Source organism: Homo sapiens, chromosome 18 (assembly GCF_000001405.40).
Source record: "Homo sapiens chromosome 18, GRCh38.p14 Primary Assembly".
Lineage (NCBI taxonomy): Eukaryota > Metazoa > Chordata > Mammalia > Primates > Hominidae > Homo > Homo sapiens.
This window is the reverse complement of record NC_000018.10, coordinates 14,897,676-14,921,490: the sequence shown is the minus strand read 5'-3', so window position 1 is coordinate 14,921,490 and position 23,815 is coordinate 14,897,676. Positions and strand designations below refer to the sequence as shown.

The 23,815-nt window shown below is 41.0% G+C and overlaps 1 protein-coding gene and 1 long non-coding RNA gene across 4 annotated transcripts in view; one reads left to right on the top strand and one right to left on the bottom strand.

The window, feature by feature from the left end:
- ANKRD30B (ankyrin repeat domain 30B) overlaps positions 1–23,815 on the bottom strand; it is a 192,964-nt gene that overhangs the window by 19,645 nt on the left and 149,504 nt on the right. For 2 of the 3 annotated variants that reach the window (XR_007066152.1, XR_935057.3), the window contains one exon: positions 19,496–19,675. The gene's annotated coding sequence lies outside the window, so the exon portion shown is untranslated. Of the gene's footprint in view, positions 1–15,607; positions 15,716–19,495; positions 19,676–23,815 lie in introns of those variants that run through there. The other variant, XR_007066151.1, reaches the window with a different exon arrangement.
- Positions 4,027–11,133, top strand: LOC105372010 (uncharacterized). The gene is made up of 3 exons (XR_935187.1): positions 4,027–4,103; positions 4,460–4,542; positions 11,094–11,133. It is a non-coding gene; the product is annotated as an uncharacterized LOC105372010 (long non-coding RNA).

Genomic DNA, 23,815 nt, shown 5'->3' with positions numbered 1-23,815 from the left:
GGGTGGGGCCTCGTGACACCTTGGGTTGTGTCTCCTGCTCACAGAAGCCTGGTTGCACCACAACAGGCAATTATATCTAAACACGCGCCTCATTTGTCTCCTGCCCTCTCCACCCACCACAACAGGCAATTATATCTAAACACGCACCTCATTTGTCTCCTGCCCTCTCCACCTCTGCTGGTTGCACCACAACAGGCAGTTGTATCTAAACATGCGCCTCATGTGTCTCCTGCCCTCTACACCCACCACAACAGGCAGTTGTATCTAAACACATGCCTCATGTGTCTCCTGCCCTCTCCACCCACCACAACAGGCAGTTGTATCTAAACACGTCCCTCATTTGCCTCCTGCCCTCTCCACCACTGCTGATTCCCTTTGACAATTACACCTGCCACCTGATCACTTCCTCATTACTGGGCTCCACCTTTCTTCCCCCTTATTATGCTCTTTCCAGACAAAGACCTTGATAAAAGTAAAAACATTTTCTTTGTCCACAGAGCCAAGAATGTCAAGTTTCCCTAATCAGCAATCACACAACATTGTAAAATGCTCTGAGACAGAGACATAAAAATAAGTGTATCTATATGTGTGACATGTAAATGCTCTCAGCCAATCTTACATGCACTTGCACTTGGTAACTTGTCAATTATTTCAAACATCAACACAAAATGTTTTCCACAAAAAGCACCCACAAGATAGGCCCCACTGACGAAGGAGTTCCCATGGTGGGGCAGGCTTGCAAAAACCACCTGAAGAGGACAAGTGGTGTGCATTGCAGGGGATCCCACCCTACTACACTTTCAGCCTGGAGAATGTCTTAGGATCAGGCAGGACCTTGGGAAGTCAAAACACTAATTTCAGATTGCTTCTTAAAATGGAGTCTGGGAAATCCAGGGACACCCAGACTTTGGCTGCTGTCACTCATTTTTTTCTTTTGTGCTATAGCCCCAGGAAGCTACAAGATCCCTAAGACTGGGGAATTCTGATAGTCTTTAACTTTTGTTTAGCCCTTTCTAGACACTATGGTGTGTCTTTCTAGACACTATAGTGACTCTATGGTGACACTAGTCACTATGGTGACACTCATTACCTTAATTAAGCCTTCCAAGTTACAGGGTGCAGTTAAATACTTTTCAGAGTTACAGAAATAGGCTTAGAGGAATTTGTGAGAAAGCCAAAGTCAAAGTGAGTCAGTTGAGCGTCAAGAAGCCAAGCTTAGATGTACAAGTTTCAGTGAGCATGTTCTATAGAACCAGTGCTTCACACAACACCCAGTACCTACAACATGTTCAAATGAATGAACGAATAAATGAATGAACAAGGAGGGTCCTGGAAGGGGCAACATGGTCAGCCTGTACTCCCCACTCCATCCACTGACCACAACACACCAAGGACAGTGGTTCAGTGCCTTGTTTACTGACCCTCTCTTTCCTTGGGCCTCAGCTGATTTGCCTTCCTGGGGAAAACTTCCCACATCAAGTGGCTGAGCCTGTGGATGAGGCACAGTTCAGAGGCCTGTGCAGGAAAGCAGCCTCTTGGGGCCTTCCCCAGAGCCACTACCAGCACAGAAGCCTGGACTTTGACCTGCAAGCCCTGTTCTAGCCCCCACTTCTGCCCCAGCTTGGCCTAAGTCCAGGTGCAGAACGTTTTTAAACATTTACCAGGGTTGATTTAGGAGCTATGTGGCACTCTTCATACAGAAAAGTAAGTTGGGTATCAAAGTCACCTGGCCAGCAGGGTGGGGCCAGTGGGCAGAAAACCTTTTTATAACTAAGAGTTTTTCCTGACAAATAAAAAGCATATGTTCATCATGTTAGAAACTTTTTTCCCCTCCTTGATTTTACAACGGACATGGCAGTTAGTGAAAACACTTCAGTTCCCCATGGGACCAGGGCTGGGGTACCTGTCATTTAGAGTGTGATTGTGGGCCAGCTGACTTGGTGCCTACATGCTGGAGCCCTGGACAAGCATCTCTTGTCCCTCATGGGAGCTCCTCCCACCTTAAATCACTGCAGGCTCACACCTCTGCTTATGATCCTTACCTGGGATGTGGCAGAGGGAATCAAGAGCAGCCCAGAGCAGGGAGAGCTGCAGGGCCCCAAGGTACTGGTTCTTGGTTTGGGAGAGGGCAGTCAAAAGAGCTACACCTTCACCTCCAGGATGGCTGCTGGCTTCTGAGTCCTGTCAGGCCTACCAAATGCGGGTGAAGGAAATAGAGCCAGCATTGCTGACATTTTACAATGTGTGTTTCAAGAAACATTTTGGCCCTCCTTATATCTGAGGTGCTTTGAAGAACACTAGCAAGTCCTTGCCCTAATCCCTTATAACCTAGTGGGCAATGAAACTGTCTCAATTTCAAAATGGGATGGTGACCTAGTGCATTTTATGCAGCTCTCACAGGATACCTGGAACCGAGTAATTTCTAATAAACACAAGGTTGTTCTCTCACAGTTCTGGAGGCTGGGAAGTCCAAGATCAAAGTATCAGCATCCGGTGAGGGCTTTCTTGCTGTGTCATCACATGGCAGAAGCTGGAATGGCAAGTCAGTGAACTAATTTCTGTGAGCACTTACTTCTGTGAGCTCTTTTCATAACAACATTAACCCACACATGATAGCTCTGTCCTCATGACTTAGCTACCTCATAAAGGCCCCACCTCCCAACACTATCGCACTAGGGGGTTGGGTTTCAAATTAGGAATTTTGAATGGGTCACAAACATTCAGACCTTAGGAAATAAATAATAGGTTGTTTACTTTCAAGCAATCATGAGACCATAGTCTTCACTGCATTGATAAATCTTGGTTCCCAGTTCCTGTATATTTACAGTTTTTTTCTTGATGAGGGGCCTGATGTTGTCCTCCACTGCATTCCCTGGGTGCCTTCATTGTGACTTCCAGTGGCCTCAGGAAGACATACATCCCTAGAGCCTGGATATTGGGATATCTCATGGGGAGGGCCTATTTGGCCTTCTGTGCCTGGAGTCGGGGAGCCTGTCCTAACAGCTTTGAATTCACTCTTATGCCTATTCTTCTGTGGGGCATAAGAAAAGGTTTTCATGTCCTATAAGATATTAATACGCTCCTACATTAATTTTACTGCTATTACTAATATTTCTGGCAGAGTAAAGATTTTAAAATTAAACCAAAATCTAAATAGATGTATTGCTGACATCCCAGTTCCAAGGGGTGCAGCAACCCTTACAAGCTTATGCCTCAGGAGAATACCTGAGCATGTCTCAGGAGAATTATCATATATCTAAGGGCTAGTAGGAGGAAAAACAAAACTGCTGAGTCTTCCAGGCAAGAAATAATAAAGTCTGGGGAAGGGAACTAAAGTAAACCAGCCTTGTCAAGTGATTGCTGTCTCATCTTTATGCCATGCCTGAGTACGGGAGTCCTTCCCCTACCCTTCTCATCCACACCCCGCTTTCTTCTTGCTGGGCTTTCTTACAGGTGCCAGGGATTAGAAGTTTTCTAGTTCTTCAGATAAGACGTGTCTTCAATTCCCACCTCATTCCTTGGAGACTTCCCCAGCAAAATTAGCCAAAGAAGAACATCTGGCTTTCTTTTTACAAGAACACCTTGCTCATCGCCCTGGGGGAGAAGAAGGTGATCATGCAATTGTTCCAAATAAACACCAATAAATCTGAGCCCAGATGGGCCAGGAGTTCCTAAACAGGATCAGCTTTTCTTTTGCTTACAAGTGTACTGGCAGGAGCCTTGGCAGAACTGTGAAGAGCAGGCCCTGAGCACACTCATGCTGTGCCAGGTCTCATCCCTGAGGAACATTAGTTACATGGCCCCACATGTGTACGCCTGCTGTTCAGGGTGTACAGCAGGCCTGGGCCAAAGCACTGAGGGATTCTGATGTGTGAAACTGCTCAAACTTGACTCTGAATAAATCCCTCTCCCTTTTCTCCCCCACCTGATTTACCAACCAGGACAGTCTGGTGACTCCTTGAGGACCTGCCTAAATGGCTGGTGTCCAGGGTGATTGCATGGCCAGACCCCGTGTCTGCAGGCAGGGAAGGGTGAAACCTGGGACTGAGGACACAGAGAAAGAGAAGCGCAGATAGACAGGAAGGGAAAGATGGAAGAGGAAGGTGAGGGTACAGGAAAATGATAACAGAGGGAACACACAGTGGGGAAAAGAGAGAAAGGCAATGAGAAAGGAAAGAGAACAATTAAGAAGTTTCTGTGCATGTTGGGGAAATTGTGGGAAAGCAGGGAGAGAGAAAGACCAAAAACACAAGTATTTCAGTTAGAGAAAAGGGAAAAATAGAAGAAATAGCTGCACAGAAGACGGAGAATGACATGCATAATAGCCTGCAGTAGGCACTGGGGCCGGAGGACGCAGCCAGGGGGAGGGAGTCCAGCTGAAGCCTGAGGACAGAGTGTCAGCTGGCAGAGAGGTGGCTGGCTTCACATGGTCACCTCATATCCTCTGTGTGTCTCTCAGCTCAGAGCAGCCCCCGGCTGAGTTGGTGGCCAGCGTGGAAACAGTTGAATTTCTGGATTTAGAGACTGATGACCGACATTTAAGTAAGTCCTGGTTCTGCCTCTTTCCTGTGGGGACTTTAGCCAAGTCACTGGCTCCTCTGAGCCTGTGTTTCCAACTACCAAGTGGGAATGACAGTGCTCACTTTGCAGGATCATTAAGAACATTAAGGAAATAGGAGCCAGGGTCAAGTAACACCCAGGGTCGGCAATAAAATGCATGTTAGCTATCATTCTTGTTGGCCTTCACATTACATATTGATTAGATCAACTGCGTTTGCATAACTCAGTTTGCAGCAAGCTCAGATAATTAATAGAAAAATTAATTTAGTAAGAAGTTTTGTTCTAGATCACTCTGCTTTTATATCACAACCTCCCCCACCCACCACACACATACACTCTCTCTGTCATTTTCTGCTTCCCAGTGTGCATGGTACAGCTCCTAGTGGGGAATACAGGGTTAGAGAGAAGCCCCTGGCTGTGAATCTGCTCTTCTTCCAGCTGGAGGCATCTCCCTCTCTCCCTCCATTTGAGTGACTTGAGCAATTTACTCCAATGATTCAACAGAACTCAGCCTATTCTGTAAAGTGGTATCCTCCTCAAGGCTCAGTACTTGGTAAGAGACAATGGGACCTCCAGATCCCAGATGCAGATTCACAAAACATAACCTGTGGCCATTCACAGGAGAACTACACACATCTGCCCCCTCCCTGACGGGATTCCTGCCACCCATCCCAGGGCAGATCACACTTCCTGGAGAGGATACCTGCAGCCCAGAACTGTTGGTGGCCTCCTGGGAACCAGTGCTCACCCCCTTTAGGCACTTTACAATCACCATCAGGGTTGGCTGAGGCCCACAGCAGCACCATCAGCCAAGAGCATAACCATTTACTCAGCACATACAGCCATTCTTCTGTATCCATAGGCATTGATTCCAAGAATCTCCAGATACCAAAATCTACAGATGCTTAGATTTCTAATATAAAATGGTGTAGTGTTTGCAGATAACCTTCACACGTTCTTCCAAAAACTTTAAGTCATTTCTAGACTACTTCTAATACCTAATACAACACAAATGCTATGTAAATAGTTGTTATACCATGTTTTTTATTCGAATAATTTTTATTGTTATATTTTATTGCTTTTCTGAATACTTTTGACTTGTGGATGTAGAACCTGTGGATGCAGAGGGCCTACTATATCTACGTATCAGGACATTTTGAAGTATATGTGCTTGAAATCTAACACAAGGAGTATTAAGATAAAAAACAGCATTTATTGTAAGTAATCAATCTGCACAAAAGTTTGGAATACAGTTGAGTCTCAGGAGTGACTTGACCCTTGAGTCTCAAGAGTGACTTGACCCAGTAGCTTGGTTGATGAGGACGATACTCATTTTCTCTGCTCCTTGGAGAATGACCTTCATCTCTCAGACAGCGTCTACATGGCAATGCCTAGGCACTCACCTCATACTAGGCCCTGAGGGGAACAGCAATGGGTCCTCATAAGGCTCATGTTAAAAGATAAGATAACCCCAGAAGGTCTCTACCTGGTCTAGGTTGGGTCAAGGACTTGCTGTGGAAACAAATCAAACAGAATATGCCTATTTTTACTCCAGCTACCTTGTTAGAGTGGTGGAGGAAGAACCATTTTCTAGAAGGAGAAGAGAGGTGCAGTGTCTTTTTCTGGACAGAAAAAACAACCACATTGGTAGGATAGTCTAGTGACCTTCAGACACAAATTACCAAGGCTCCTCTTTCACATCAGGCCCCCTGTCTGCTGCTGTTTGCTCTCTTACTTGCCTCATTCTAATTGAAGAGGCTCAGCTCACTGCCTAATTCCATGTCTACTCAGTGCTAACCTTGATGGAAATAGTGGGGGGAGCATGGAGATCAGCTGACCCCTAGAGACAGGAATGGGATGATCACTGCTGCTATTTACTTCGTAGGCTCATTCTTCTCTACCTGACCATGCTATTTTGGGACCCTTCAAAACTGGATCCTAAGCCTGCTTTTCTTCTCACTCAACATTTTTCCTAGAGTATGTCATACAAGCCTGTGGATCCTATCACCACCATATGTGGATGACACACTAATGTTGTCTCTCGTCCAGACCTCTCTTCTGAGCTTCAGACCCCTATGTCCAATGGCCTCCTTGGTTTATCTTCCTGGATGTTTCAAGAGACCTAAAACACGACAACCCCCCAATAGAGTTTATGATCTTCCTTCTCTCATTCTGAAACTAGTCCACTTTCTGTACTGTTTCCTAACAAATTAAAATAAATGACCTTTCATCTAGTAACAAAAGCTAGAAACTCAACACCCTTACTTCCTCATTTCCCCTCACCCCATAATTCAATTCATTATGAAGTTCTTATTAAACAATCCTTATATTTATGCGTTTCTCTCTGTCTCCACCACAATTCTTGCCCAAACAGCCATCATACCCTTCCAGAATTTCTGAAAGTGCTGTCTATTTGGTCTAACAGACAATCTTTCCATCAGTTATCTTCACTGTCCAGGAGCAAGGGCCCTGTTCCCAGAGCTCTCTGGTCTTTGAAAAAATCTGACCCTCAGCTCAATAAAGCTCAATAACAGTTAAAGCAGGCTACCTAGTCAGTAGCAGGAGCAGTGGATCCCCACACAAATCAAAAGACTCCAATACTCAAAGCCTGTGAGCCTCCCAGAGGTAACTTACTCATAACTCAGGAATCTAAAATCAGCTAGGCCATGGAACAAAGCACCTTTATTTAAATCTGTGTGGCAAGTCTGCTTATAAACATGGAGGAACAGAGAAAGATTATCAATGTTAATAATTGCCATGTGAATTTCCAGACCAATCAACCTGTTTTTATGCTAAAATATCAGCATCATGGACATTCTTAACATCCTTGAAGAGCTGTGACAGCAGGGAAGTTATGAGGATGGTCTCTGGTACTAGGTTTTCTGGCTCAACTCCCGTCTCTGACACAAGCTGCAGTACTTTGGACAAATTACCCCGTTTATACCTCAATTTTCTCACCTATAAAACAGGAACAAAATTAACAGCACATTCCTCATTAAGACTTTTGTAAAGATTAATTAAGGTAATTTATACAAAACACACAGGACAGCATCCAACTCATAGTAAACACTGTATAGATGTTAATTTTTACTTTTACCAACAGGACACTGTGAGAGGGAGAGTAAACCACATGGGAAACACATCCCAGAGGATCTGGGGTCCAAGGGACCTTGGACAAACCCTCACCCCATCACTTACCATCAGAGTGACCCCAGACAGGCCCATGACTTCTTTACAGTCATTGTTAAAAACTATGAAATGTTGATACAAATAGTTCTCAGGGTTTGGGAAGGTGTGTATATGTATATGGCATTTTGTAAGGGCTTGCCACGTAATAAGCCTCTAACTGATGTCAAATATTGCTCTTGAATAGCGCAGATCCTGTCCTGATGAAGATTACATCCTAAAAGAGAGTGTGAATTGTTCATATATAGTATGAAGTTATAATAAATTATCTTAATATATTTGAATACCCAGAAAAATAATTCCCTGAAGTTGCAGCCTGATATTGGAAATTCATAAAATTCCCTCTTCTGTAGATACAATTCTCCCCAAACCAGCCTCCTTCTGGGTAGCTTGTCCATGTTCTCTGGCCCTTAGGTGCACAGATGGCTGGGCAGGACAGGGACTGGCCAGCTGCTGTGAATGGTTGTCAGCATGGCACTTCGGCAGCAATCCTTTATTTAATAGCTAACCCTGGGTAACTAAAAGGCTGTAGGCTGCCAGCACTGAGCTCACTGAAAGCTTCAATTGGTACTTAGTCTAAATAGTGCATTAAAGGGCCACAGATTCCACATGGATGTGCAGGAAATCTGGCCTCTGCCAAAAGAGCCTGCAATGTGGCCAAGAAAATGCACTGATAAAATGGGTCCTTCTCTGCTCATCTCATGCTGGGTCAGTCACAGACAGGAAACCTGTAAGCCCAGAAGCTTGGACCCAGCAATTGCATAATTGCAAACATTTGGATAACAGCTGAAGAAAATAAAAACAAACCAGTACACAAAACTCCCAGCACTCAGCTCAATATTTTGCTTTTCTTTCATGCATCACACAAGCTTGGATTGTAGATTTTTAAGTTTTCACACAACATCCTGAGATCAGACCAGGCAAGTAGAAATCCAAAACAGAACAATGATGAGTAATTTTATGGAATCACTAATAAAAATCTCCCAAGAAGTAGAAACCCAGGGCCAGATGGGCTCACAGCTTAATTATACCAAACACACGAAGAACTAATACCAATCTTTCTGAAATTGTTCTAAAAAATCAAGGAGGAGAGAATTCTTCCTACTTCTTTCTACAAGGCCAGTATCACTCTGATACTTAAACTAGGTAAGGACACAACAAAAGAAGAACACTACATACCAATATCTCTGATGAACACAGACACAACATGCTCAACAAAAACACTAGCATATTGAATCCAAGAGCACATCAAAAAGATAATACACCATGATCAGGTGGGATTTATCTCAGGGATGCAAGGATAGTCCAACATACATGAGTCAATAAATAAGATGCATCACATAAGCAGAATTAAGAACAAAAACTATATGATTATCTCAATAGACACAAAAATACTTCAATAAAATTCAGCATTCTTTCATGATAAAAATCCTCAAAAAAACTAGGCATAGAAGGAATACAGCTCATCATAATAAAGGTCATATACAACAAACCCACAGCCAACATCCTACTTAACAGGCAGTAGTTGAAAGCGTTTCCTCTAAGAACTGAAGCAAAACAAGGATGCCCACTTTGATCACTCTTACTCAACATAGTACTGAATGTCCTTGCCAGAGGAATAAGACAAAATAAATCAAAAGACATTCAAACTAGAAAAGAGGAAGCCAAGTTATTCCTATTCACTGATAATATGATCTATATGTAGAAAACTCTAAAGGACTCCACCAATAAACTCTTAGATTTGATAAATGAATTCTGTAACATTTCATAATACAAAATTAATGTACATAATTCAGTAAAATTTGTATATACCAGTAACAGTCTAGCAGAGGACCGAATTGAGAAGGCAATCCCATTTACAATATCTTTAAACATAAAATACCTAGAAATAAATGTAAGCAAAGAAGTGAAATATCCCTATTAGGAGAATTACAAAACACTGATGAAAGAAATATTGATCACACAAACAAATGGAAAAACTTCCCATGCTCATGGATTGGAAGAATTAATATTGTTAAAGTGACCATACAGCCCAAAGCAACCCAGAAGTACAATTTAATTCCTATTAAATTACTAACATCATTTTTCATAGAATTGGAAAAAACAATCTTGAAGCCATATGAAACCAAAAAAGAGCCTGAATATCCAAAGCAATCATGTGCACAAAGAACAAAGGAGGAGGCATCACATTACCTGACTTCAAATTCTATTCCAAAGCTGCAATAACCAAGACAACATGGTAATGGTATAAAAATAGACCCATAGACCAATGAAACAGAATAGCAAACCCAGAAATAATGCCACATATATACAATCAAATTATCTTTGACAAAGTCAAAAATACATATACACTGGAGAAAAGACACTGTATTCACTCAATTGTTCTGGTAAAATTGGATTGCCCTATGCAGAAGGGAGAGACTGTACCCTTACCTCTCACCATATATAATAATCAACTAAAGATGGACTAAAGACCTAAAGGTAAAACCTGAAAACATAAAACTCTTAGAAGAAAATCTAGGAAAAACTCTTTTGGATGTTGGCCTTGGCAAAAAAAAATGTATGACTAAGTCCTCAAAAGCAAGTGCAACAAAACCAAAAATAGACAAATGAAACTTAATTAAACTAAAAAGCTTCTGCACAGCAAAATAAATAATCGATGGAGTAAACAGACAACCTACAGAATGGAAAAAAATATTTGCAAACTATCAGTCAAAGGGCCAATATCCAGAATCTAAAAGAAACTCAAACAGTTCAATGAGAATAAAAAAACAAACCCACCAAAAAGTGGGAAAGGACATGAACAGACATTTTTCAAAGGAAGACATACAAGTTGCCAAGAAACACGAAAGAATGCTGAACATCACTAATCATTAGAGAAATGCAAATGGAAACCACAATAAGATACCATCTTACACCAATCAGAATGGCTATTACTAAAAAGCCTAAAAACAATAGATGTTGGCTAGGATGCAGGGAAAAGAGAACACTTATACACTGTTGGTGGGAATGTAAATTAGTACAACTTCTATGAAAAAGAGAATGGAGATTTCTCAAATAACTAAAAATAGAACCACAATTTGATTCAGCAATCCCACTATTGGGAATACACTCATAGGGAAATAATTTATTATATCAAAAAAAAACTTGCTCTTGTATGTTTATGGAAGCGCTATTCCCAATAGCAAAAATGTGGAATCAACCTACATGTCCATCAATGGAGGGCTGGATAAAGAAATTTTATATATATATATATATATTTTTACATTGTGTATATATATGTATCACACATATATATTATGTAACACTACTTAGCCATAAAAAAATGAAAAATCATGTCTTTTTAGGAACGTAGATGAAACTGGAGGCCATTATCCTCAGTGAAGTAATTCAGAAGGAGAAAAGTCAAATGCCACATGTTCTCATGTATGAGTGGGAGCTGAACAGTGAGTACACATAGACATACAGATGGAATAATAGACTTCGGAGACTACAAAAGGTGGGAGGGTGGCAGAGGGGTGAGGAACAAAAACAGCCTTTGGGTTACAGTTCAGGTGATGAGTACACTGTAGGCCTAGACTTCACCACTCTGCAATATATGCATGGAAGAATCCTGTACTTAGACTCCCTAAATATATTAAAAATGAAATTTAAAAATTTTATTTAAAAAAGGATTTCCAAATTTTCAAATGTGTATTTTAATGTCAATTAGATATACACTTGACATCATCTGATTTTTTTTTATTGACCAGTGGTTGCCTGCCATAGAACATGGCTCCATGGCAGGGGCGCATCTTCCCCCACACTAGATTTAGAGAAGTTACTGGGTCCAGGTGCTCCTCAGTGCTCTCAGGTACTGCTTGACCTGCTGGAAACCACAAAGTAGATGCTAGTATTGTGTGCTTTGCAGTCTAACAACCCTGAAATACAAATCCTACCCAGCCACCACTTCTAGAAATACAACTTTGAATAATATACATAACTTTGCAAAATTAAGAGAATTCATCTGTAAAATAGTGATTAAAAATAGTGCCTTCCAGTCAGGCGCAGTGACTCATGCCTGTAATCTCAGCACTTTGGGAGGCCAAGCATGTGGATCACCTGAGGCCAGGAGTTTGAGACCAGCCTGGCCAACATGGTGAAACTCCATCTGTACTAAAAATACAAAAAAATAGCTAGAATGGTGGTGCGCGCCTGTAACCCCAGCTATTTGGGAGGCTGAGGGGGAAGAATCACTTGAATCCGGGAGGCGGAGGTTGTAGTGAGATGAGATCACACCACTGCACTCCAGCCTGAGCCACAGAGCAAGACACTGTCTAACAACAACAACAAATAGCGCCTTCCTTATTAGATCGTGGTGAGGATTAAACAATATTGACTGTTCAGCAGTGTCAGGTATGCTGCAAGTGTCCGACAAACATCACCCTCATTGTCACTGCCTTCCCCACACTGGGACTCTTCCCTCCACCTAGGACACTGGGGAGCACAGGAACTTCAAACAGGGACACCCTTAACAAGCACAGAGTTCAGCCCTGTCAATTTACAGACATGGTGACAGAAGCCCAGAAAAGGTTGGCTCAGATGTCCTGTGTCCCAGACAAAACCCCTCCACTGCCTCCTATGCAGCCCCTCCTGATGGCTTTGGCAGAAAGAAGACAGGTGCAGACTTTGTCAGTCAAGTCCCATCAGACGACAAAGGCTGGCTCTGCACTCAGAGACAGCACATCCTCCGACAGCTTCCCTGTCTCCTTCCAGAGAGACCCAGCCCTTCTTGGCCATTGTCCATCTATGGTGGCAGGACTAGTGGCAGTGAGTCCTGACAACAGGATAGATAGCTTTTCCCCAGGATCAAGGACGTCATTGAAATGCAATATTCCTGTGGATATTTGCAAGCCAGCTCCACATCCTCCCATACCACAGGGGAGGGCCCTCAGGAGCCCTGGAAGCTGCTGTGTCCCGAGGCCTGGAATCCAGCAATTCTCTCCCAGCATTGGCCCCTCCAGCACTCTCATTCACTCAGTCACTCAGCCAGGCAGCATCAGAACACCTGCTCTGAGCTGGGCTCCACACGGGAGCTAAAGACACAGACACTAAAAGGACACAGACCCTGCCCTCAAAGACCTCACAGATTAGAAAGTAAAGCACACGAACACATGGATGATGGTGAGGTCAGAGCGAGAGGGTTAGGGGAGGGGGCTGGCAGGCACAGTGAGGCGCAGAGTGGCTGCAGATCACATCTCCTCGGATGCTGAGGGAGTTTCATGAGACAGTGACCTCCAAGAATTAGGAGATGTTCTACAGGCAGCCAAAGGTCAAAGAGGTGAAGGAAGCCAAATATGTTGAGTTGGCTGATGAGAGGGCCTGCAGACAGAAAGAGTCCCGCACAGCTGTCATTTGTGGAGGGGAGTTGCATCTGTAGAGGAGTTAAAGTGAAGTAAACAGCGGAGGCATTCAGGCTTTCCCTGAGGCACTTGCAGGGATCCTAGGAAAGATGAACTGTGAGTCTGACACCTTTAATGGTCTTAAAGATCCATTTACTATTTTCTCTGAGGATTGCCTACCTGTGAGGCTTCATACAACCAAAACACCTCTGCTAGCCATGCCTCCTCTTTGCTTATTCCCATTAACCTGTCTTGCCAACATACCTGTTTTCGGTCATGCTGCAAACCCCCAATTATTTCTGTATGCTCAAAATGGTATAAAAGCATCAACCATCTGTCCATTTTATATGACTCCTGCGCACGTATATGCATATGATAAAATTTGTCTGCCTTTTTTTTCTGTTAATGTATCTCAAATTATGAAACCTTCTGGGGAAAATTCAAACTTTTCTACAAAGGAGTCTAGGCAGAGATACCCATGTGCAGAGTGTAGAGAGATGAAATGATGGCTCTGGGAGAGCCTGGAGTTTGGCAGAGTGTCAGTTTGGAAAAAAGAAAGGGGTTCAGTAACTGTGAGGTAGGGGGAAGCCAGATCTGGAAGGGTACCCAGATGAGAATCCTGCCAGGACGCTTGGGAGGCCAGTGGACAGGACGCAGTGTCTTCTCTGTCCAAACAGCTACATCCGGGACATGCTGATCCATCAATCAGACAGCCTCGGCCTCCCAAGACCCACATAAGGGCTGTGCTAATTTCAGTGCATCTTTGTCAAAGTCTGACCCAGAGGAGGCCGTGTCCATGCCTCAGCACAGACGCCAGCCCATCTTCTGCTCAGGACCTCTGTTAAGCCGCTCCTACGCCCTCTCCCTGGGATGCTCAGTGTCTCCAGGCCCGGGTGGGACATCACTGCCCAGGGCCTGACACCAGCACCACCAAACACAATCTCAGACCCACTTTCTTATTCCACAGGCACAACAAACCAGCAATGAAAGAAATTAGACCTATTCAGTGTTAATACAATGACCCTATCATTTGATGTCTTTTTTTTTTCAGTAAAATTGAGTTTGGAATATAAACCAAAAATAAAATTCTAAGGTTCCCTAGTTATCTGAATAGAATTCCTCCTAGGCCAGGGCACTCTTAAAATTTAACATGAGAAACTGGTTCAGGCCATGACAGGGAGTGGGGGTCGGACCTGCCTCATTATACTCTCCAGCATTAACATCAACACAGACCATAAGTCTGATAAGAAACACTTACAATCTATTCTCTCTAAAGCCTACTGCCTGAAGCCTTCATCTTCATAATAAGAACTTTGACCTCCATAATTCCTTATCTTAACTGAGACATTTCCTTTCTATTGATCGCAGGTCTTTATATGAACTTAACCAATAGCCAGTCAGAAAATTTTTGAATCTACCTATAACCTGGACCCCCACCGCCACCCAACCCCCCACCCTCCTCACACTTCACCTTCCTTGACCAAACCAATGTACTTCTTAAATGTGTGTGATTGAAGTCTCATGTCTCCCTAAAATGTATAAAACCAAGCCACACCCCAACCACCTTGAGCACACGTTCTCAAGATCTCCTGAGGGCTGTGTCATGGGCCATGGTCACTCCTATATGGTTCAGAATGAATCTCTTCAAATATTTTAGAATTTGGTTCTTTTCATCAATGGGACTAAACAGAATTGACAGCTGAGGTTTGGCAATGGAGCTGGAGAAGTGTGTGTGCAAAAAAAAGAGAAAGTGGTACAAATTGTATAATATGAAAGACTTTTCTTTATATGCACAAAAGATAAAACCATACATTTAGTTCAATGTGTAATCATTTGTGCAGTCCAGAGATTTAATATTGAGGCTGAAAATGAGCATATCAATCCCAGGCCTTGCTGTGTACTTTTCATAATTTATTTAATAAAATAATATTTTTAAAATCACTCATATTATATTCATCTATAACAAACATAATGAGATTGGTAGAGAGTCATTCAAGAAACATGGGAGATAGATTTTTATTATAAGATTTTGATGCCATTTTACAACAAAAGAGAGAGGACAGAGAACACAAGAGAAAGTGACAGGAGAACACAGGAAATCAGGACATAGAGTGGAAGGGAGAGGCAGAGACTGGCAGGCATTTGAAAAGCAGAGACAGATTCCAGGAAGAGGCAGGAAGAGGTTAGGTCCTTCCAGATCAGGACCATGCCAGGCATACCATCTGTTCTTTATGCCACTTTAAACAATGTGTGGCATATACTTTGGGCTAAAAGTATTTGCTGACTTGAATTGAGTCTGAGGTGTAAACCAAAAAAAAAAAATCTCTAAGCCCTCTAACAGACCGAATGAATGGAACCACCTTCAGGGCCAAGCAAATCATAAAGAAACCCAAAAAACTGAATTCCAGGCCATGAAAGGAAGACAGGTCAGACATGCCTCATTATACCCCTTCTTTTTTTGGAGTTTAGGCAAAACTTACCAGCATTAACATTAAAATAGACATCCCTTCATGGATGAAACAGACCCTTTGGCACTAAGATGCCAAATTCCAGCTTGACTCTGGTATAGCATCACATGACAGCAGACCCTGAAAGAAATTAACACACTTTACTTCAAAATATATTTATCTGACATATGTTGAAATGGCCCTGCAAAGCCTTTTGTGGGGTAAAATTTTGCATCTTTAGAATCTCTTTCCCTTTCTAGGTCTTTGCCAGGTCTAGAGGAGATTTAACTGAGTTGGACTCTATTTAAAATCTGAAAAGAGACATTGACCATCTATTCTCTCTGAAGAATACTACCTAGAGGCTTCATCTACATAACAAGAACCTTGGCTTCCATAACCTTCCTTTTCTTAACTCAAGCATTTCTTTCTACTGTCTTTAGACAAAGCTAAATTCTTTCAACCAAGTGCTGATCAGAAAATCCTTGAATTCACCTATTACCTGTAAGTCCCCACTTTGAAATATTCCACAACTTTGGGCCAACCAATGTATACCTTACATGTGTTACTGGAAAGAGGTCAGGATCCAGACCCCAAGGGAGGACTCTTGGACTTGTGCAAGAAAGAATTCAGGGTGAGTCCATACAGTAAAGTGAAGGTAAAGGAATAGAGAATAGCTACATCATAGGCAGGGCAGCTTCAAGGGCTGCTGTTTGCCCATTTTTGTGGTTATTTCTGGATGATATACTAAACAAGGGGTGGATTATTCATGACTCCCATTTTAGACCATATAGGGTAACTTCCTGATATTGCCATGGCATTTGTAAACTGTCCTGGTGCTAGTGGGAGTGTAGCAGTGAAGAAGACCAGAAATCACTCTCGTTGCCATCTTGGTTTTCGGGGGTCTTGACCAGCTTCTCTACTGCAACCTGTGTTATCAGCAAGGTCTGCATGACCTGCATCTCATGCCAACCTCCTATCTCATCTTGTGAGTTTAAGAATGCCTAACCTCCTGGGAATGCAGCCCAGTAGGTCTCACCCTTATTTTACCATGCCCCTATTCAAGATGGAGTCTCTCTGATTCAAAAGCCTCTGACACATGTATTGATTTATGTCTTTGCCTGTAACTTTTGTCTCCATAAAAAGTATAAACCAAGCTGTAATCCAACCACCTCACTTTCTCCAGACCTTCTAAAACTGTTCCCTTGACCATGGTCACTCATATTGGTTAAGAATAAATCTCTAAATATTTTACAGAGTTTGGCTTTTTCATCAACAGAGGAATCAGATGAGATGGGGGGGATTAAGCTGTAAATGGATATATAGACATGAGGGAGAATGAGGAAATCAAAGTAGAGGACAGCAAATGGGGAGTTGAGGAATAGAAAAAGATCAATGGAGTGAGAGAGGAGAGGGAGAATGAGGAAGAGAGGGAAAGAAGAGAGGAGAAAAGAAGTTCAGATCCTGTGTGCCTGGTAAAGTGACTCACAAAATAGAACAGTCCCCCAAAACTGAGGTTAGCTCAGGCCCCAAGGAGTACTCAGAGCCTGGCTGTGGGAACATGTTTACTATTAGGTTAGACCAGGAGCCAGGCTCATTCCCATCAAGCCTCAGAATAACCTGAAATAAATGTTTCTCTAGCTTAGACACACGGCCAGGACAGGACCTCTGCCTTTTATAGCTCTGTAATATCCAGCTGGGATAATTATGCATAGAAACTGTTTTCCAGAAACTTTAGGCCAGATCATGGGAAGAGAACTGATCACCGATAAACACAGTAGGTCAATGCCCCATGGCCCATGTGATGAGGTCTGCCCTGCTGTGGGTGGATGAAACCATGTTGGGGCTCAGGATTATACAGGTGTTAATAACAATGGAGCTCTGGGGTTGGAACCACAGTGAAGACAGATGACAATTGGACAGCCCTTCTTTATAATCTAATGATTGGGGGCCAGGGACAAGTATATATCAAATGTAGTGGTGAGCTAAATAATAGCTTACACAGGTATCTGGTCCTAATCTCTGGAATGTGTAGTTGTTCCTCGATGTAGAAAAAGGGTCTTTGGGAATGTGCTTAAGGATTCTGTGGTGGAGCAATAGCTCTGATTTTCCAGGTGTACCTTAAATGGAATCACAAGTGCTACTATAGGAGAGAGACAGAGGGTGGCTTAACCGGCAGAAGATGTGAAACTGAAGGAGTGCAGAGAACTTTACCCCAAAATAGTGGTCCCTGATGTAACGTGCATTTTGAATTAAAGACCTTCAGAGATCAACAGAGGCTGGAGGAGAACGTTCTCTGTCTACATAGAGACCAGAGGGAGTATCCAAGGAGAACAATTGTCTTTCCTTCCTCTCCCTGTTAGCTCATTATCTATTACAGAAAACAGGAACAAGAGTGTAACCATGCCAGCACAGACTTTCACAAGACAATATCTATCTCTCAGTCTCAGTCAATTTTCAAAGAGCATGATTTACAAGTGAATTCCTGTTCCCTGATCTATTTATTCTCTTCAGTAATCATTTATCATCCTGTAATTACCTACATTCCCATCTCCTCTTCCCCTCTGAAATAGGGCTATACAAGTATCTGGGCCCCATTGGAATATGGGACAATCACTCTGTGGCTCTCCCCCAGGCACCTATTAATAAATGTTCACGCCTTTCCTCCAATTAATCTGCCTTTTGTCAGTTTATTTACTAGCAAGCCTTCAGAGGGTGAAGGGGAAGTGTTGCCTTGGCCCCTGCATGACTACAGAGACAGAGATTGCAGTGAGGCCACTGCAGCCAAGGAGTGCTGGCAGCCACCTGAAGTCAGGAGAGCCAAGGGCTGGTGCTCCCCAAGAGCCTCCAGAAGGAGTGCAGCTCTCCCAAAATACCTCGATTTTAGCCCCGTGAAAGTGCTTTGAACTCAGGCCATCTCTACTGTGTGAATTGTTTTAAATCACCAAGTTGGTAGTAATTTGTTACAGCAGCCACAGAAAAAATACAGATGCTCACCAGGTCCAAGTCCTGTAACAAGTGCTTCCCATGGATTCCATAATTGTTGGCATAACTGAGATTGCAGCTTCTAGTATCCCCATTACTTATTTTAAGAAAACATAGGAGAAAAATATGCTGTATTACTTACCCAAGGTACCTAGTAGGGGGCCTAGAGTGGGACAAATCGAGTGTACAAGTGAGTGTGCAAGTGAAATGGCCTCATTGTCTGGGGCGGTACCCTGGGATCATTGTCTCACGGCTGAGGAACTAAAGGATACAGACACATGGAGAGTGAGGTTGAGAGTGGACGTTTAACAGGTGAAAGGAGGAGGACAGCTCCCTGCAGGAGAGTAGGACCAATTTATTTGCAAAATAAAGTTTTAGACTTGTTATACTTGGCCTGATTATTTGACTAAAGTACAGCCAGAATAGTACTTGGCCATGTAAGCACTTTTTAAATTGACTTGACTGAAACTTTTTTTTATAAGGAATTTCAGGTTCAATCTTTAAAAGCCTCTTAAGATTGGAAGCCGGGCCAACAATTCACCCTCAGATTTTGCCTGTAATACTTGTATGAATTGGGTAAATCCCTCTTTTTTGAGGTCCCCCAAATATCCTGAAGTTCCTGGGCTTGTCAGAAAATGGTATTCTTTACTTACTGCAAGCCTATAAACCTTGTAATATGGTTTGGCTTTGTGTCCCCACCTAAATCTTCTTGAATTGTACTCCCGTAATTCCCATATGTTGTGGGGAGGGGGTGGCAGGGACCGGGTTGGAAATAATTTGAATCATGGGAGCGGTTTCCTCCATACTGTTCTCGTGGTAGTGAATAAGTCTCACAAAATCTGATTTTTTCAGGAGTTTTCACTTTTTCATCATCCTCATTTTTCCTTGGTGCCACCATGTAAGAAGTGCCTTTTGCCTCCTGCCATGATTCTGAGGCCTCTCCAGCCATGTGGAACTGTAAGTCCAATTAAACTTTTTCTTCCTAGTTGCAGGTATGTCTTTATCAGCGGCATAAAAATGGACTCATGCACCTTGTAGGAGAACCATGTAGACAACGTATCAGGCCAGTTCTTCCAAAGGTTTAACAGCTTCTTAGTTCCTCAAAGCAATCTGGTCAATCTGAAAATATGACATCTCAATCAAAGCTTTGGTAATGGAAGCTATACTCCTAATTGCCCTATCACAAAGAGAGCAAATTCTTATTGAAGTTATGCTAATAATATATTGACATAAAATACAAATACCCACGAATAGTTTTCAAATTCTGTAGGGATCAGGTAGAAAGAAAGGTAAATGTTCCCATTTTGCTCACAACAATATATTTTACCCAATTGCTGTAAGCTGTAAATAGCTTAAAAGAAAGGAAGAAAAAAAAAAAACTTTGTCTTGACTCTGAAAAGCAAAAAATAAAAAGAATCAGCAATATTTCAAATAAAAAGAAGTTACAAAAATTGTTTTGGTCTTTCATCAGTTCAGTCTCATGTAATTAATTTTGTTCTACTTGATGTTGGGTTAGTAATCTTCATGAACTCATTCATTTGTTTATTAGAGTTTTGTAAGTTTTTACCTAATCCAATGGTATAATCTCCAAAATTATCAAAAACCTACATTCAAGAATACTTGTTATGGTCTTTTTCATGAATTTTCTTGTAAAAGAAGTAAATTTTTGGCTGTAGCCAACTATAAACCACTTTTTGAAATGAATCAAAGTAAAGCGATATTGTCTATGAATGACAAAAGACAGAATAGCCATGGTTAAAGACACAATTGACAAGGAAATTTGATTATTTCTATGGCTAACAAAAACCTGTGAATGCCAAGCAACATCCCCTCCACTCTTTCAGTGGTTATTTAGTTATTCAGCTTAGAATAACTGAAAAAATAGGCTCCTGGAGTTTTATGTACATTTTATGAAGAATGCATTTGAAGTAAAATGAAATTGGGGTGCATTAGTTAAGATTCAGTTTGGCTTAAAAAATTATTTATTTCTCCATGCAATAAACATCTGGAAGAGTGAGAACTCTGCTCCACAAAAACATCTGGAAGTTTCCAGTTCCATTTAGCTCACCGTTCCATAATCTCTTTGTTCTCATAACTCAAGGTAGAATCCAAATTCCAGCAGGAAGGTGGAATAAAGGGATTAAAAGTGAGCACAAAGGGCTTCTGCTGGCTACCTTTTATGGAAGACTTTTGGAAGTTGCCATAGGACATTTCAGTTAAATCACATCAGCTAAAACTTGGTCACATGGCCACATTAAGCTGTAACAAAGACTGGGAAATGGAAAGTTTATTTTGTGCAGTCAGCTAAAAATTCTATTGCCATGGAAAAAGGAGAGAATAAAAGTTGGGAATGATTAAAAGTCTTTGCTCAGTAAGTTGGGGAGAAAAATGCCTACATATGATTGAAGGAATGAACATCATAATGAATGACATTATACCGTCATAAGCTTGAAGACTTAAGGGGCAAAGATATGACAAGAAGAGAATAGAAAGCTTATTATGCCTCATAAGAAAAGGGCCAGAATCAAAACGTGTAACTTCAAATGGGTAGAAAAAAAGCACAGATGCAATGATAAATAGTAGATGGAAAAGTTACATGACATTATAGATGAAGACATTTCCCAAATTTGCCAATGACAAATAAGAGAAAGGAGTATCTAAGTTTTTGGGTACCATAAATTTTAATATACTCATGTATCACTTATTTGTGATTTATTCCATGCCAAATTATAAACAGAATTAAAGTGGCTGAATTAAAACTCACCATTTCTTAAGCAATTGTATGTGGACCACTGAAATGTTTCCAAAGGTACTTGGGGGATTAATTTAACTAAAGGCATACTGTAATCTTTTTTCAACTTAATATTTTTTAAAAAATTGTATTTTTTCAATTTAGAAAAGAATGGTTTGAGTGCCTCCACAAACACATCAAATATGAATGCCTGGAATTTAGAAAGATGAGATAGATTTACTCACAGTTTAGTTAACTCATCCGTTCGTCATTTAATGAAGTCACAATGATGTTCACTATTATGTAAATAAGTTCATTCATTGTCATATGCTGCTAAATTTATAACCTTAACAAACCATTGGTTAACGAGAAAGTATAAAGAACAATGAGTTAAATATAAGTTATTAGAAGCATAAAATAACTCCAAAATTTGCTTTTATTTTTTAAATTGATGTATATTTGACAATTTACAGTTAACTTTTAGATAATTTTCTTCAGGTCACTACAGTCCTAGTGCCAAGAATGGGTCTGGCAATAAACACTCAATAAATACTTGTTAAATAACTTTGTATGTTACAGAAAATATTGTGACAATCATATTGGAGTTGGTCGCATGTTTTGGAGGGGTATAATGACTCTCTACCCCTGCAATGTTTTATTTATGGAGCACTATTTGCAAATAGAAGAATAAAACTATTTCTCTTATTTCAACATTTAGAAACCAAATAAATTGTAAAAATAAGTGAGCTAATTTTTTTAAAGCATAGAAAGAATTTTAATGATTAGATCCCAAAACTAGATTTTGTCATCTTTGATGTTAAAACATTTATATTTCAACATATATTTATTTAACTAACTTTTAATTCTACACATGCTATATGAGGTCATTTTAAAATTTATTTTTTCAAAAATCATGAGGTTTTTAAAAACATAATTAATTTAAAGAAAATGAAGAACATTCATCATTTGTTGAAGGGGAACAGTTGACATTTGCCTTTATATATAAAACATATTTAAACAAACTTTATAATATAACCTTGAAAAATATACTAACCTAAAACAAAATTTATTTTTGATAGGCAAATTTTTTATTATATTCAAACTCTAAAATAATGACAAGATTAAAAATATTTTTAAGGAGATGGTGAGATGATATTACTGTAAAATACGTTTATGGTCTATATCAAGGAAAATAATGAACAATATTCTGTCTTAGGCTATCTATATCAGTCCAGTTCTTGCTGAGATACTTATTTTAAGTAAATAATGTAGCTGGTAAAGAGTCTGGAATTCATACTGTATGAGAAAGGGCCAAAGAAACTAAGGATAATGGGAAGCATGATCAATGTCTTCACCTCTTTCAAGGGCTGTTATGTGGAAATGGTATTGATTTATTCTGCATAGCTTCAGAGGATATATTCACATATAATTGGTAACACAATCAGAGCTACTTGTAAATGTAATGAACCACCTGAAAACTGGTAACCTACAATTAATGAGATTATAGAGCTGACAGACAGGTAAATCAATGGGACAAAAGAGTCAATAAAAGGTAAAAGAGAGGCATCAGTAAAAAAGGAATCGAATGTTTAATAAATAATGTTGAAAAAACTAGATAGCTATTTGAAGGAATAAAATACCAGTTTGCGGCAGGAGTCCCCAACCCCTGGGCTGGGGACTGGTACTGGTCCGTGGCCTGTTAGGAACTAGGCCGCAGAGCAGGAGGTGAGTGGTGGGTAAGCAAGCATTCCACCTCCTGTCAGATTAGCTGTGGCATTAGAATCTCATAGGGGCGTGAACCCTATTGTGAAACTGCGTATGCCAGGGATCTAGGTTTTGCGCTCCTTATGAAAATCTCACTAATGCCTGACGATTTGAAGTGGAACAGTTTCATCCTGAACCTCCCCCCGGCTGCCATCCCCTGACTGCTGGTTTAGAGTATCGTCTCACACCATACCCCAGAATTAATTCCAGATGAATTTAAGATAATTTGAATTTATATTTAAAATTCAAACTATAAAAGTTAGAATAAACTATATTTCAGACAATGGTATGGAAAACATACTTTTAAGCATAGATACAATATAATAAATTATCACAAAAGATCTATAGAATTGGTTACACAAAAACTGATCAGCTTGATTAATTTTTTCACCCTGCACTCCGGTAGTGCACGATTAGTGAAACATGAGAATTAGGAATAGAAGAAGAAGTGTGAAGTGAGCCTAATAGTGCATAAAATAAAGCGTTACTGAAAGAACTCTTGGATTTGGCAATTAGGAGTTTATTCATGAGCTTGAAGAGAGAACGCCAATAAAGAGATTAGAAGTTAGGATGCAAAAGTTAAATTGAAGAAAAATGAGCAGATTCTGGCTGCATGTTCAAGAAAGTTGGTGCTAGTGCAAAGGAACTAGGGTAGTCCTTTGAAAAGATTTCAGAGTTAAGGGCAGGGACATTTTATTCATTTGACCTATAGGCACAGAGATGGGAGCCTGTGAAAATTTCAAAGGCTTGCAAATGTATTTAAA